This window comes from Homo sapiens, chromosome 22 (assembly GCF_000001405.40).
Source record: "Homo sapiens chromosome 22, GRCh38.p14 Primary Assembly".
Lineage (NCBI taxonomy): Eukaryota > Metazoa > Chordata > Mammalia > Primates > Hominidae > Homo > Homo sapiens.
This window is the reverse complement of record NC_000022.11, coordinates 45,350,869-45,366,296: the sequence shown is the minus strand read 5'-3', so window position 1 is coordinate 45,366,296 and position 15,428 is coordinate 45,350,869. Positions and strand designations below refer to the sequence as shown.

The 15,428-nt window shown below is 40.9% G+C and overlaps 1 protein-coding gene across 5 annotated transcripts in view; it reads left to right on the top strand.

Moving 5' to 3' along the window:
* SMC1B (structural maintenance of chromosomes 1B) overlaps positions 1 to 15,428 on the top strand; it is a 69,537-nt gene that overhangs the window by 47,303 nt on the left and 6,806 nt on the right. For 3 of the 5 annotated variants that reach the window (NM_148674.5, XM_011530144.3, XM_047441333.1), the window contains exons 16-22: positions 3,271 to 3,412; positions 4,313 to 4,458; positions 6,339 to 6,492; positions 7,502 to 7,600; positions 11,182 to 11,338; positions 12,165 to 12,319; positions 13,695 to 13,846. In NM_148674.5, coding sequence (NP_683515.4) covers positions 3,271 to 3,412; positions 4,313 to 4,458; positions 6,339 to 6,492; positions 7,502 to 7,600; positions 11,182 to 11,338; positions 12,165 to 12,319; positions 13,695 to 13,846 — 1,005 coding nt within the window. The remainder of the gene's footprint in view (positions 1 to 3,270; positions 3,413 to 4,312; positions 4,459 to 6,338; positions 6,493 to 7,501; positions 7,601 to 11,181; positions 11,339 to 12,164; positions 12,320 to 13,694; positions 13,847 to 15,428) is intronic. The other 2 variants (NM_001291501.2, XM_011530145.3) reach the window with 1 other exon arrangement.

Sequence of the window (15,428 nt, the reverse complement as noted above, 5' to 3'; positions counted from 1 at the left end):
ATCCTAACAATCTGGGAGCTCGAGGCAGGCGGATCACCTGAGCTCAGGAGTTTGAGACCAGCCTGGGCAACATGGCGAAACATCATCTCTACTAAAAATACAAAAATTAGCTGGGCGTGGTGGCACATGCCTGTAGTCCCAGCTACTCAGGAGGTTGAGGCAAGAGAATTGCTTGAACCTGGGAGGCAGAAGTTGCAGTGAGCCAAGATCGTTCCACCAGATTCCAGCCTAGGTGACAGAGGGAGACTCTGTCTCAAAAACAAACAAACAAACAAACAAACCCAAAAAACAACCAAAATGGAATTCTAATTGAGATTGCATTGGATTGATAGATTTGTGGAGAATTGATACCTTCAAAATATTGTCATCCCATCTAAAAACATAGAATGTCTCTCCATTTATTCTAATCATCTATATCCTTTATTAGAATTTTGGAGTTTTTTCCCATAGAGATCTATGTTTTCTTATTAATTTCTAGATAATTATAGGGTTTATTTTTTTCTTGTGAATAGTATGTGTTTTTATGATGCTTTTGCTAGTTGGTTTCTACTAGTGTAGAAAAATAATCTCAAATTTTATTTTATCTTTATTAATTCAGGGTCTCACTCTGTCAACCCAGGCTGGAGTGCAGTGGCACAATCTTGGCTCACTGCTACCTCTGCCTCCTGGGCTCAAGTGATCTTCCTACCTCAGCCTCCCAAGTAGCTGGGACCACAGGTGTGTGCCAACATGCCCAGCTAATTTTTGTATTTTTTGTAGAGATGGGGTTTTGCCATGTTGCCCAGGCTGGTCTTCAATTCCTGGGATCAAGCGATCTGCCAACCTCAGCCTTCCAAAGTGCCCGGGATTACAGGTGTGAGCCACCATGCTCGGCCTAATCTCAAATTTTAGATTGATCTAACATCTAGTAACTTTGCTAAATCCTCTGTTACTTCTAGTGGCTTATTCACTGTGTATTCTAGGTACTGAGTTTGTGATGTCTGTGATATCCAGTTAGAGGTATAGAATGGGTAGCTGAATACACAAGTTAGGAGTTCAAAGGCGAGGCCCAGGCTAGAGGTATAAATTTTGGGAATGTCCGTATATAAATGGCACTTGAAGTCATGTAACTACACAAGAGCAACAACGGAATGAATGTGGATAGAAAGGAGAAGAGATCCGGCCGGGTGCGGTGGCTCATGCCTGTAATCCCAGCACTTTGGGAGGCTGAGGTGGGCGGATCACGAGGTCAGGCGATCGAGACCATCCTGGCTAACACGGTGAAACCATGTCTCTACTAAAAATACAAAAAATTAGCCGGGCGTGGTGGCAGGTGCCTGTAGTCCCAGCTACTTGGGAGGCTGAGGCAGCAGAATGGCGTGAACCCGGGAAGCGGAGCTTGCAGTGAGCCGAGATCGTGCCACTGCTCTCCAGCCTGGGCAACAGAGCGAGACTCCATCTCAAAAAAAAAAAAAAAAAAAAAAAAAAAAAAAGGAAAAGAGATCCTACAAGATGTTAGCAAGTCGAAGAGATGAGAAAGAACCATTAAAAGAGCAGCTAGTTGGGGGAAAGGAAAGCCAGGGTAATGTGACACCCCAAAGCCAAGTGAAGAAGCGTTCCACTTCTACATCATCTGTATGTCTGCCTCCTGCAGCACAAATAAATTTCTTAAGCTCTCCTACAGGCAGTGTGGTCACGGATTAAGAGCAGGGATTCTGTTGTCCCCCTGTCTGAGTGTGTCATCCCTGGCTCTACCACTAAGTGGGTAGCCTTGGGCAAGTTGCTTAGCTCTCTGTTCCTTGGTCTTCTCATCTGTTAAATAAAGATGATAATATTACTGACCTAGTAGAGTTTTAAAACTTGTAAGTTAATTCATGTAAAAACTTTTATAACACTGTCAGGTATATAGTAACCTCTCATTAAATAGTTATTAATGTTTTAATTGTTATAGTTGTTTTTATATTAGCAGTATCTAGCACAATAGCTGTTAGTACTTAAAAATGTTTCTCGAACAAATGATTCTGTTAGCAGGGTGTGGTGGGGGGGCAGGGTGAGCATGGAAAGGATGAGCTACAGTTGACAATGGAATTCTTTATGAGGAGTTTATGAAGCTGGCAAAGTAGGAATGAACGTTCCCAAGTTTGGTGTTTATATAAGAATAGTTATTTGGGCCAGGCGCGGTGGCTCATGCCTGTAATTCCAGCACTTTGGGAGGCAGAGGCAGGTGGATCACTTGAGGTCAGGAGTTTGAGACCAGCCTGGCCAACATGGCGAAACCCTGTCTCTATTAAAAATACAAAAATTAGCCGGGCATGGTAGCACACACCTGTAATCCCAGCTACTAGGAAGGCTGAGGCAGGAGAATTGTTTGAACCCAGGGGGCGGAGGTTGCAGTGAGCTGAGATCGCATCACTGCATTCCAGCCTGAGCAACAGAGTGAGACTCCATCTCAAAAAAAAAAAATAGTTATTTGAAAAGACTAAATAATAAGAATAAACACATAAAGAAAAAGAGGAGAGGAAATCTGTAGATTATAAAAGATTTAAGAAACATCATCTGTATGCAATGTGTGGATACTGATTCAAACAACCAATTTTTCTTTTTTAAAAAAGAATTTTTTTTGTATCTGCTTTTGTTTTTTTGAGATGGAGTCTCACTTTGTCACCCAGGCTGGAGTGCAGTGGTGTGATCTCAACTCACTGCAACCTCCCAGGTTCAAGCAGTTCTTACCACCTCAGCTTACTGAGTAGCTGGGACTGTAGGTACACGCCACCAAGCCTGGATAATTGTTGTATTTTTAGTACAGGTGGGGTTTCACCATGTTGGCCAGGCTGGTCTCGAACTCCTGACCTCAAGTGATGTGCCACCTTGGCCTCCCAAAGTGCCGGGATTACAGGCATGAGCCACTGCGCCCAGAATAAAAGAAAATTTTTAAAAAGGAAATTTGGCAATGACAGCAATTTGATATTAATGAATTATATTTTAGCCATAATACTTTATGAGTTAAAAGTCATTTCACTTCTAGAGATACATACAAAAATACTTACAGGTGAAATTACATCATGTCTAGAACTTGCTTCAAATAAGCCAGTGGTGGGAGGGTCAATTAGTGGAGTTATCAATGAAACAAGAATGACCATGAATTGATAATTATTAAGTTGGGTGACAGCTACTTGGGAGTTCATTATAGTATTCCTTTTACTTTTATATTTGTTTGAAATTTCCCATAAGAAAAAAGAAGGAATCAAAGTTTTCTGTTTACACTTGTAATGCTTGACTTTATTATACTAGATTAGAATTTGAAAAACAAAAAACTCGGCTTAATGTTCAACTTGAGTATAGTCGCAGTCACCTTAAGAAGAAACTGAATAAGATCAACACATTAAAAGAAACTATCCAGAAAGGTAGTGAAGATATTGATCACCTAAAGAAGGTAATTAATAATGGGTAGCTGAAGTGCCTCTTCATTGAAATTATGACTTCCTTCATGTGGTAAACCTTTTGTGCGCTCCTGAAGGGTCCTGTTAGTGAAGGGGTTGGGGACAGATTTAAGAAATACTTAAAGTAAAATCAGCAGAGCTTTATGAATTACTGGATGTCAACATGGGAGGAAGGGCAAGGGGATGTCACAGATGACTCCTTAGTTCTAACTGGGGTGATTGGTGAATGGGAGCAGCAGGTTAAGGAGAGAAAATTCTGGACCTGTGGAGCTTGAGTTGCCTATGTGATGTCTAGATGGCAATTTCCAGCAGGCTGTTAAACAGTAGATAATGGGAGAAGTCTAGGCTGAAGATACAGATTTGGGAGTTGCTGGTTTATGGGAGTAAACTGAAACCACATGAGAATGGTTGAGACTCCCTAGCAGGGAGGTAGGCAGTGAAGAGCAGTGGAGCAGCGATGGGATCTGGAAGGTGGTCACTTAGCTTATGAGGAGAGTCAAAAGAGGTGGTATCACAGAAGCCCCAGAGTTTCAGGAAGGAGGAAATGATCAAGGCTGTCAAAAACGTAAAAGTCTGGAAAATGTTTAATTGACAGAGATCATGATAGCAGAAACACTCTCATTGGAGAATGGGAACAGAAGTCAGTGAGCTGAGGAATGAATCCAAAATAAGGACAAAAAAACAAAAACAAAATGAAGGATAAAGGCAGGTAATGATCACCAGTTTCTAAAAAGTGTAGAACGTGAGTCACAGTCCACGATGGAAGGTCAGGTAGCACATAGGGTGAGAAGGTTCATCTCGGGATAACTGGTTTGGTGTTATTGATAAGAACATAGAAGTACCTTATTAATATAAAAGATAGTAAATCTACAATGCAGATCCTCTCTGTTCAGGCTGAAGAAAACTGTCTGCAGACAGTGAATGAACTCATGGCAAAGCAGCAGCAACTTAAGGACATACGTGTCACTCAGAACTCCAGTGCCGAGAAAGTTCAAACTCAAATTGAAGAGGAACGGAAGAAGTTTCTGGCTGTTGATAGGTAATTAAGACTTCATCAGTTTGAAAGACCTAGTCAGAGTTTTAAACATGGACACCAACTATCTGAAATGTATGAAATGAGTTGCATTTGAATATGTGCCCTTTGTTGCTCTTGGTCTCACATCACACCCTTCAAACATTGTAATTTTTTTCAAACATTCTCAACCAGGAGAAGTGGTTAGTTGTTTAGAGCAAATAGTGTTTTGTTTTTTCTTCAGACGGAGTCTCCCTTTGTTGCCCAGGCTGGACAGTGGCATGATCTCAGCTTACTGCAACCTTTGCTTCCCGGGTTCAAATGATTCTCCTGCCTTAGTCTCCCCCAAGTAGCTGGGACTACAGGAGCACACCACCATGCCCAGCTAGTGTGTGTGTGTGTGTGTTTCTCTTTTAGTAGAGACAGGGTTTTACCATGTTGGCCAGGTTGGTCTCGAACTCCTAACCTTAAGTGATCTGCTCGACTCAGCCTCCCAAAGTGCTGGGATTATAGGCGTGAGCCACTGCTCCTGGCCTAGAGCAAATAGTTCTTTTTGTTGGATGAAAACATGAACCTGTATAGAGTCCCTTACCCTAATTCTACCTTGACATTGGTGTCTTCCTGTTGTACAGAGATTCCCTCTAGTCTGTGCAAGATAGCACAGAGGGTAAGGAGATAGAATTTGGAGCCACAATTTCTGGTTTCATATCCCAGCTCTGCTGTTGACATATGATACCTTAATTTCCTCATCAGTAATGGAGATAGTAATAGTGCCTACCTCACAGAATCGTTGTAAGTATTACATATGTTAATATTCATACGCACTTAGAGTGCCATTGCACTCCAGCCTGGGCAACAAGAGTGAAACTCTGTCTCAAAAAAAAAAAAAAAAGTACCTGGCACAAGATTAGCTTGTGTGTCTGCCATGATGATGGCAATGACGATTTGAATTGACTGGCCTGTACCAAAATGACACCTGCTTTCCTGTCATGCATCATGATTTACATAACCATGAGTGATTAGACAAAGTTAATTCTCTGTTTTTGCTCAGCCTTTTGGCATTTCACAGTTTTTCTCACTGTTCGAAGACCTTCGGTGTTTCAAGATACAGCCAGAAAGTTCTTTGTCTAAGATTTTGGAGTGGAATTAAAGTCCGTTTACTCTTGCTTTTTTAAAACTCTTGTTTTTTGTGTAAATAGAACACATTCTTCCATTTTTTTTTTTTTAAGAAATGAGGTCTCATTATGCTGGTCTCAAACTTCTGGGCTTAAATGATCCTATTCCCTTGGCCTTCCAAAGTGCTGGATTACAGGCGTGAGCCACCACACTCAGCCCAAACAGAATACTTTCTTTTTCCCTTCATATTCTTGAAAAACACATAGTTCTTACTTTCTTCTTTCTTTCTTTTTTTTTCCATTTTCTTTTGGTCCTTTTTCCAGGTTCCTTTAAAAATCTCACATCATTTCGATTAGTAAAACCCAAGCCCTCATTTTCAGATAGAAGGCGTTACTACATTAGTGGTGGTGGTAGCAAGGAAAACAGATTATTAAGTGTATGTGACTTACTGGCAAGGGATTTCTTTTGCTAAGAGTCTGTTTATCTTGGTTTGAGGTCTAAAATGTAGAGCTTATATTTGAGTGAGGAAAGCACTGTTTTTGGTAACCCTGATTAAATCAGTAACATTTATTAGTGGAAAATGCTCCCTTAGATTAACTGAGTATATTCGTGACCTTTCTCAGGAGTGTTAACAATTAAATTACAAGCATCAATGAGAGGATTCTAGAACTTACAGCACTCACAGGAATAAATAATTCTTTTTTCATAAAAGTTTATAGCATACATTTTTCTTCCTTGGTGCAGTGTTACATAATGAGTAAAATTACTTTTTCATATCTGTGTAATTACAGGGAAGTGGGGAAATTGCAAAAAGAAGTTGTAAGTATTCAAACTTCTCTGGAACAGAAACGATTAGAGAAGCATAACTTGCTGCTTGATTGCAAAGTGCAAGACATTGAGATAATCCTTTTGTCGGGGTCACTGGATGACATCATTGAAGTGGAGGTATTCTAGCAAATGACTGTAAAATATGTGCCGTTGTGTGGAACTTAATGCATTGCCCTTTGCTTATTCTTTCTCTTGTTCTGTAGCCCCTTTAGGGGTGGTGAAGACATCTCATAGGAGGGAAAAAGGGCAAAATGACTGTCATCTCAGAGGACTAGGGCCACGGGATGAACCCATGTTTCTTACCTACATATTAGATACCCAAGAGAAATCAGAGAATTAAAGTTGTTGGAGTCAAGAATGTTTTTGCACAATGAGCCACAGGCAGTATGCAGCGGTTCCCTGCACTCTCATAACATTTTACATCATGTGCGGGGGTGGTTCTTGCTCTGCACCTTCTCCAACAGTTGTATTGAGGTCCTTCTCAGAAGAAACGTGCCCTACTGAGTATCTCCAGGTGGTGACGGAACAGGAGGAGGCAAGAATGGACACCAAAGAAATCACAGGATAAAACCAAGGCTCACTAACATTTCCCTGTTGGCCTTTTTTCTTTCTTTTTCACCACATTTGGATTATACAGGACACTTTAGATTGGCTGGAAGTACAATCATTCCTTGATATCCACAGGGATGGATCCAGGATCCCCCATGTATATCAAAATCCGAGGATGCTGAAATCTCTTATCTAAAATGGCATAGTTTTGGTATATGACCTATGCGCATCCTCCCATATACATGCATGCCTCGTTTTATTCTACTTCACAGATATTGCAGGGGTTTTTTTGTTTTTGTTTTTGTTTTACAGATTGAAGGTTTGTGGTAAGCCCATGCTGATAAAGTCTGTTGGTACCATTTTTCCAACAGCATATGCTCACTTTTCTGTGTCTCTGTGTCACATTTTGATAATTCTCGAAATCTTTCAAACTTTTTTATTATTATATGTCTGTTAAGGTGATCTATATAACTGATCTTTGATGTTACTATTGTAATTGTTTTTGGAGTGCCATGAACCACTCCCATATAAGACAACAAACTTAATCAACAAATGTATGTGTTCACATATTTTTCAGATGGGAACTGAAGCAGAAAGTACCCAGGCAACAATTGATATCTATGAAAAAGAAGAAGCCTTTGAAATAGACTACAGCTCTCTAAAAGAGGATTTGAAGGTAATGGAAAGCTTTCTGTTGTTTATCACTCACAGTAATACGGAATATTTAAATCTTACCGAATCATTTTTGGATGATAGAATTAAGTTTGTTTTTTTTTAAAAGATTTCCTAATGGTTTTGGAAGAAATATACAAAGGAAAAACACTGTAATCATGAAACTTCTGACACAAATTGTGGGTCTCTGCCACACCAAGCAATTCTCTAATTCTTTGAATACCAAATGGGGGTTCTACAATTAAGTTCAATTCTGACACTGTCTACCTGGAGTTAGCATCAGATCCCACAAAGTAATGGCTCAGTCCCACAAGACTGGCCACTCTTCAGATACCAATCACAAGTCCAGGCCTCCCAGACTCATGGCCAGTTGGCTGTAAATCAGGAGTTTTCACAACTCCTTCCACAGATTTGATAATATGCTAGAATGGCTCATAGAACTCAGGGGAATACTTTATTTACATTAACCAGTTCATTTTTAAAGGCTACAACTCATGGAACAGCCAAATGGATGAAATGCATAGGACTAGGTATGAGAAAGGGTCCATGCCCTCTCTCACACCTTCTCCGGGCATGTCACCCTCCCAGCATCTCTTGTGTGGTCACCAACCTGGAAGCTCTTCACAACCCACTGTTTAGGGATTCTTATGGGAGGTTCATTACATACATGATTGATAAATCATGGGCAATTGGTGATCCAGCCTCAATCTTCAGCCTTTCTCCCCCACCTCCTTAGAGAAGAGGGGCTGAAGGTTCCAGCCCTCCAATCACCTGGTTGGTTCCTCTTGCAATAGTCCCCATCCTCCAACAGTCAGCTCATTAGGTATGATTGACGGGGGCTTATCATGAATAATAAAAGATGCCCCTCTCACTCCTACCACTCAGGAAATTGCAAAGGTTTTAGGTATGCTGTGCCTAGAACTGGGATGAAAACCAAATATATATTTATTGTATCATGTTATCACAAAATAGCTAGTAAATATATTGGTTACTTTAAAAAATGTTTATGTCAGCATTTCTGACTGTGTTGTGTAGAACACTGGTGTCATGAAATGTCTAGCCAAAGAAGAAAAGTTTCTGTGGTTACTTTTTGAGAAAGTCTTTTCCCTTCTTGGGAAGGGAAGAGAAGAGATTCACAATGGATATTAAAGTTTTTGAGAAGTCCTTCAATAAACAAAAGTAACCAACTACTTACTCCAGCATCCCAAATTTGCTCACTGGCATCCCACTGCAGTACCCTTAGTAGACACAGGCCTCTCTCAGGATTGTAGGTGATGGTGTGGCACACCCTTCACAGCTGCAGAGCACAGACCTGGAATCCAGCTTTAATTTAACTTTATTTAGTGCCTTTAATTGAGCAGCTCTGGCTCTGTTTCCCAGTCATCCCTGTAGCCATACATTTCTTTGGGTGTTGGCTTCATTCTGAAGCTGCTTCTCTCCTGAATGCCACATGAGTGCAGCTATTCTTGGCTTTACAGCCACACAGCTACAACCTTCAGAGATGAAAGAAGCTGTCTTTTGTAGTGGTGCTAGTGAAAGGAAAATGAAAACTTGGACCCCAATTCATTGTACCAAGAGGAAGAAATTAGGCTGAAAGCTGAGTCATGCAAAAAACTGCCTTTCCTTTTGTTCCTAAGCAGAGAGCTACATATAAAAAATTAAGTATCAGGCCGGGCGTGGTGGCTCACGCCTGTAATCCCAGCACTTTGGGAGGTTGACATGGGCAGATCACCTGAGGTCAGGAGTTCGAGACCAGCCTGGCCAACATGACGAAACCCTGTCTCCACTAAAAACACACAAAAAATTAGCCGGGCACAGTGGCACGTGCCTGTAATCCCAGCTACTTAGGAGGCTGAGGCAGGAGAATTGCTTGAGCCTGGGATGTGGAGGTTGCAGTGAGCCAAGATTGTGCCACTGCACTCCAGCCAGGGTGACAGAGAAAGACTCTGTCTCAAAAAAAAAAAAAAAAAAAAGAAAAGAAAAATTAAGTATTTCCCCAGGTAGCAACTCCGTGGGGAGATATTTATGGTTTCTCATCTTATGGTAAAGTGCTGATTTACTGAGCATGAGATGAATCCATAATTGACTGTTTCCTGCCTACTCCTTTTCTCTTGCGATATATGGATTCAGTGATGTGACCATATACTTCCTCTTGCTCCTGCCTGCTTTTCCCCTTTAAATATCAAAGCCCTCAAAATCATCTTTGGAGAAAGGCACAGACTTCTCTCTGGGGCAAGTCCTTAACCTTGGTAAAATAAACTAAATTGATTGAGACCTGTCTCAGATACTCTTTGGTTTACATGCTGTTCTAAAATTGAAGAAAGGTTTTACCTACAAAGCCCCAGCAATTGTCCCCTCATCACAGTTGCCTGAATGGGGTCACATATTCATTGCTGAACCAATCACTGTAGAGGGAGGAGGATGGTGGACTTTACCTTAGACCAAGCAGGCCCTGCCTCTAAGTCTAAGTACATGTGGTCCAGGATGGAGAAGTGGATCTACCTGGTCAAAAGCATGTGCTGCATTACAAAAAAAAAATGGAGAACAGATGCTGAGTAGCAATATCCACCACATCTTTTCAGTTTATATGCTGTTAATATATTTTGTTAGACTTTTTTTTGTTTTGTTTTTGAGACGGAGTCTTGCTCTGTCACCTAGGCTGGAGTGCAGTGGTGCAATCTCGGCTCACTGCAACCTCCACCTCTCGGGTTCAAGCGATTGTCCTGCCTCAGCCTCCCAAGTAGCTGGGACTACAGGCATCCGCCACCATGCCTGGCTAATTTTTGTATTTTTAGTAGAGATGGGGTTTCACCATGTTGGTCAGGCTGGTCTTGAACTCTTGACCTCAGGTGATCCACATGCTTTGGCCTCCCAAAGTGCTGGGATTACAGGCATGAGCCACCACACACGGCCTACTTTTTGTACTCTGATTGTATTTGTGGCAAAAAAAGCTTCTGGAAGGGCGTGGCACTTTTTCTCTTCTATTCATCACTTGTGTCAGGTTTAAGTGTTAACCTGTCTAGCTGGATTGGATCCCCTCTCCCTGCCCCGTAGTACCTATGCTTGCCCTATTAGAAGTCTTTTCACTTCGCTGTAAAAGCTGGTTTAAATCCCAGCTACTCGGGAGGCTGAAGTGGGAGGATTGCTTAAGGTCAGGAGCTCAAGACCAGCCTGAGCAACAGAGTGAGACCTGTCTCTTACAAAAAATTTTTAATCCAGTTTATATGTCTGACTTCCCTGTAAGTCTTTAAAGGCAAAGACTGAATAGCTTCCATCATTGAATCCTCAGTGTAATACATAGTAGATTATGAATATTTTTAAATAAATGAAGGTGAAGTATAAATTGTTGCTCTTTACCCAGATTAAAAAATGAGCTGAAATGTGTTCAAAGAAAAGAGCACTGCCGACTCAGGAAGCTACAAATATTGCAGCAGGACTGCACCTCCAGGCTCAGAGAGGGCTTTGGGGAGAGAAGGAGTGGATGCACAGGGACCTGGGATGGTGAAGTGCCCCACACACGCACCCTACCTTGCTGGATGTAAAAGACATGCCATGCCAGTCAGTGTTGTTCTTTGCCCATAATAGGCTCTACAGTCTGATCAAGAAATCGAGGCCCACCTTAGGCTCTTATTGCAGCAAGTAGCATCCCAGGAAGATATCTTACTGAAAACAGCAGCCCCAAACCTACGAGCACTGGAGAACTTAAAGACTGTCAGAGACAAGTTTCAAGAGTCCACAGATGGTAAAATTGAGTGTAGTCACTAACAAGATTATATTCATGGGTGTTTTGATTGCTATAACATTTGCCAACAATCTCCCCTCTGTTGTCCCTTTTTGTTATAGATTTTTTCCTCTGTGGTCTTATATTAATGTGTGCTTTTAATACTGAATCATTAATTGTTTCCTTTTTGAAATGTTTTGCTTTAATTTAAAACCAGGTTTATTGGTGATTTTAAAACACATGTATTTTTTTAATACCAAAAAAATTGACATAATAAATACTCTTATCAGGCTGGGCGCAGTAGCTCACGCCTGTAATCCCAGCACTTTGGGAGGCTGAGGTGGGCGGATCATCTGAGGTCAGGAGTTCAAGACCAGCCTGGTCAACATGGTAAAACCCCATGTCTACTAAAAATACAAAAATTAGTTGGGTGTGGTGGCACACACCTGTAGTCCCAGCTACTCGGGAGGCTGAGGCAGGAGAATTGCTTGAACCTGGGAGGTGGAGGTTGCAGTGAGCCGAGATCACGCCACTGAGCTCCAGCCTGAGCAACAGAGCAAGACTCCGTCTCTAAATACATACATACATACATACTTACATACATACATACATACATACCCTATCAGAACTTGTCAATATTATTTAACAATTAGCCCTACTAGAAAAGAGGCTCATGAATTCTAAGAGCTATTTTCTTGGAATTAATAATAGTTTAGGTATTTTGAAGGTACCTTTACTCAAGAGATCCAAACTCAAATCCAATTTTAAAAATATTTTATGCTTTACAGTTTAAGTAAAAGAACCTCCTCAGTGGTCTCTAAAATAAAGAACATTGATTCTCTCTTAGCTTTTGAGGCCAGCAGAAAGGAAGCCAGACTGTGTAGGCAAGAGTTCGAGCAAGTGAAAAAAAGGAGATACGATCTTTTCACCCAGTGTTTTGAGCATGTCTCAATCTCAATTGATCAAATCTACAAGAAGCTCTGCAGAAACAACAGCGCCCAAGTATGTATCTTTCATCCTCAAATACTAGTGAGAATTCTGTGTTACCGGTGGTGGTTGTTTTTTTTTTTTTTTTTTTTTTTTTTTGGTGGGAAATAACCACTGCCACATTATTTGAGCAACTCACTCATGGGGCAAAGTCAGTTCATGAAGAGTGGTTATCTAATGACCTGCGTTGTAGATCCCATTCACTCCACACTGTTCAGTGTGGACAAGTCAAAACCTCTCTGGGTCTGTTTCTTCATCTGAAAAATAAATGGACTAAATCATTTTGTTTCCAAATTCTCTTTTAGTTCCAAAATTCTGTAGTCTGGTATTAATTTGATTTTATAGAACTGTTGGTTTCTGTGGTAAATGTGGAATAATAGAGGATCCTGGGAAGATGGTTCATCTGTGGAGTTGACCAGAGTAACAAAAGAGAGGAAAATAACTAAAGGCAGGGTTCAAATTCAGATATGACCCTTTTAATGATAACCACTCCCATTCCATTATCAGTATCCATAGCAAATACTTGTGGAATTGAATGTGAAATGAAGATGTAGGTCGGGACTTATGTACCTGCTCTGCTTTTGTTTTCTCATTTTCTTTTATGACTAAAAGGTGATCCTGGATCAGATATTTAGAACTTGAACTGAAAATAACTTACTTTCAGTAAAGTAAGACTAAAACCCATTAACCCTTTTTTTTTTTCTTTCTTTCTTTCTTTTTTTTTTTTTTTTGAGACAGAGTTTCCCTCTGTTGCCCAGGCTGGAATGCAGTGGTGCGATCTCGGCTCACTGAAACCTCCACCTCCCGGGTTCAAGTGTCTCAGCTTCCCAAGTAGCTGGGATTACAGGCGCATACCAACAAGCCTGGCTAATTTTTGTATTTTTTGTAGAGACAGGGTTTCACCATGTTGGCCAGACTGGTCTCAAACTCCTGACCTCAAGTGATCTGCCTGCCTCGGCCTCCCAACGTGCTGGGATTACAGGCATGAGTCACCATGCCTAATTCTTTGAAAACAAGATTCATCTCTGTTTATCTACAGTACCTGGCCCATAATAGGTATTCAGTACATGTTTGATGAACGTATCAGTGAGTGAACTGCATGAAGACTGTTTTGTAAGACTGTGGCATGTGCCTCTGAGGTTTGACTGGCAGTCTGGTGGAAAGGGCTGATCCCTGGGTATGTTAGGAGAGTGTTTTCCCTCTACCGCCTACCCAGACAACCCTGTTGTCTGTGATTACATGTAGAACTAAATACATTATTTATAGGCATTGGTAGTTTTCCATCAAAATTGAAGAAAAGCTAACCAATAGAATATTTTGCAGTTAAACTCCAAGTTGAACTTTATCAGTTGCTTTTCTGATATTGCTAAATAAATAACATGCGTTTCAGGCATTTCTTAGCCCAGAGAACCCTGAAGAACCTTACTTGGAGGGAATTAGCTATAACTGTGTGGCCCCAGGCAAACGGTTTATGCCAATGGACAATTTGTCAGGGGGAGAAAAGTGTGTGGCAGCCTTGGCTCTCCTGTTTGCTGTGCACAGGTAAGGTCACAAAAGCTATTCAGTTTTCATATCAGGGCAGAAGCCAAGGGGACCTTCCTACAGAAGATATATTAACTATTGTCTTTATTAATATTTAGCAAATGAGATACAAAACTATCTTCTTCAGCCAGACAATTCAGATTATGTTTTAGGCCTACAACAATTTAGACTTTACACAGCAAATCGAAGACAGAATTCTTAGATTTTTAGTGGGGTTTTTTTTTTTTTTTGGAGACAGAGTCTCACTATGTTGCTTAGGCTAGGCTCAAACTCCCAGGTCAAGTGATCCTTCTGCCTGAGTCACCTGAGTAGGCAGGACCACAGGCATGTGCTACCATGCCCAGCTAGTTAGTGACAGATTTTTATTCAATTTCTGTTATTATCAATAGCTACTACTATTCCATTTTAGAAAAGAAAAAATACTTGGAATAGCCAGAGGTAACATCAGGATTGACAAAAATCCCAATTTGTGTATTATTTTCTTAGTCAATAGTCAAGATCTGCTACTTAGTAAAGAATGTTGAAGTATTTCTTCTATAAAAGTATTTAATCTCCTTATTTCCACTGATGGTGGTGGAACTGTTTCTTTGTAAAACAAATCAAGAAACAAAAAGTTATCTACAATTAAGGCAATTAACCTCTTTCAACATTCAGAACATTAGATGAAGATCTAAAGTACAGATGCTGAACCTGGGCAACATAGTGAGACCCCGTGTCTACAGAAAATAGAAAAAAGTTAGCCAGATGTGGTGACACATGTCTGTAGGCCCAGCTACCCAGAGGCTGAGGTGGGAGGATTGCTGGAGCCCAGGAGTTCGAGGCTGCAATAAACCGTGATGACACCACTGCACGCTAGCCTAGGTGAAAGAACAAAACTCTGTCTCAAAAAATATATGCATAATACAATTAGTAAAATATAGATACTGCTGCTTCTCTATTTCCATGACCAGGAACAAAAACATACAAGAGTTTGAAAACTTTTTACTGGTCTCTAGAAGGAAAAGGAATAGGCCGCCACAGGAAAAGAAAAGAGAAAACCATAAAAGCTGGAGGCCTGCTTTGAACAAGTCATCTGAGCAAAATCAGACAGGTGGCACCCACATCCATTTAGTCAACAGATATTTACTAGTTACTGTGTATCAGGTGCTGTTGCAGGCACTGGGGAGACAGCTGTGAACAAAACAAAATGCCTGCCTCGAAGATACTTAATTTTAGTTGGGGAAGGCAGATAATAAATAAGGTAAATTAGTAAACTAATTATCCAATATAGAGAATATTAGAAAGTAACAAGTTCTATAGAGAAAAAAAGCAGGGAATGGAGATGGTGAGTGGCAGGGAAGTGGTTAGCAATATTAAAGAGTCATCTGGGAAGGTCTATTTGAGAAGGTAACATTTGAGCAAAGATTTGAAGGAATAAATGGAGCAGGTCATGTGGACAGCTAAGGGAAGAATATTCTTAGACATCAGCAACAGCAAGTGCAAAAGGCCCCGAGGCCAGAGTGAGCACAGCATGGATGGAGAATAGACTGTATGCAGCAGTGGCAGGCACAGGGCTAGGAGACTGGTCACAATCAAGGTGAAA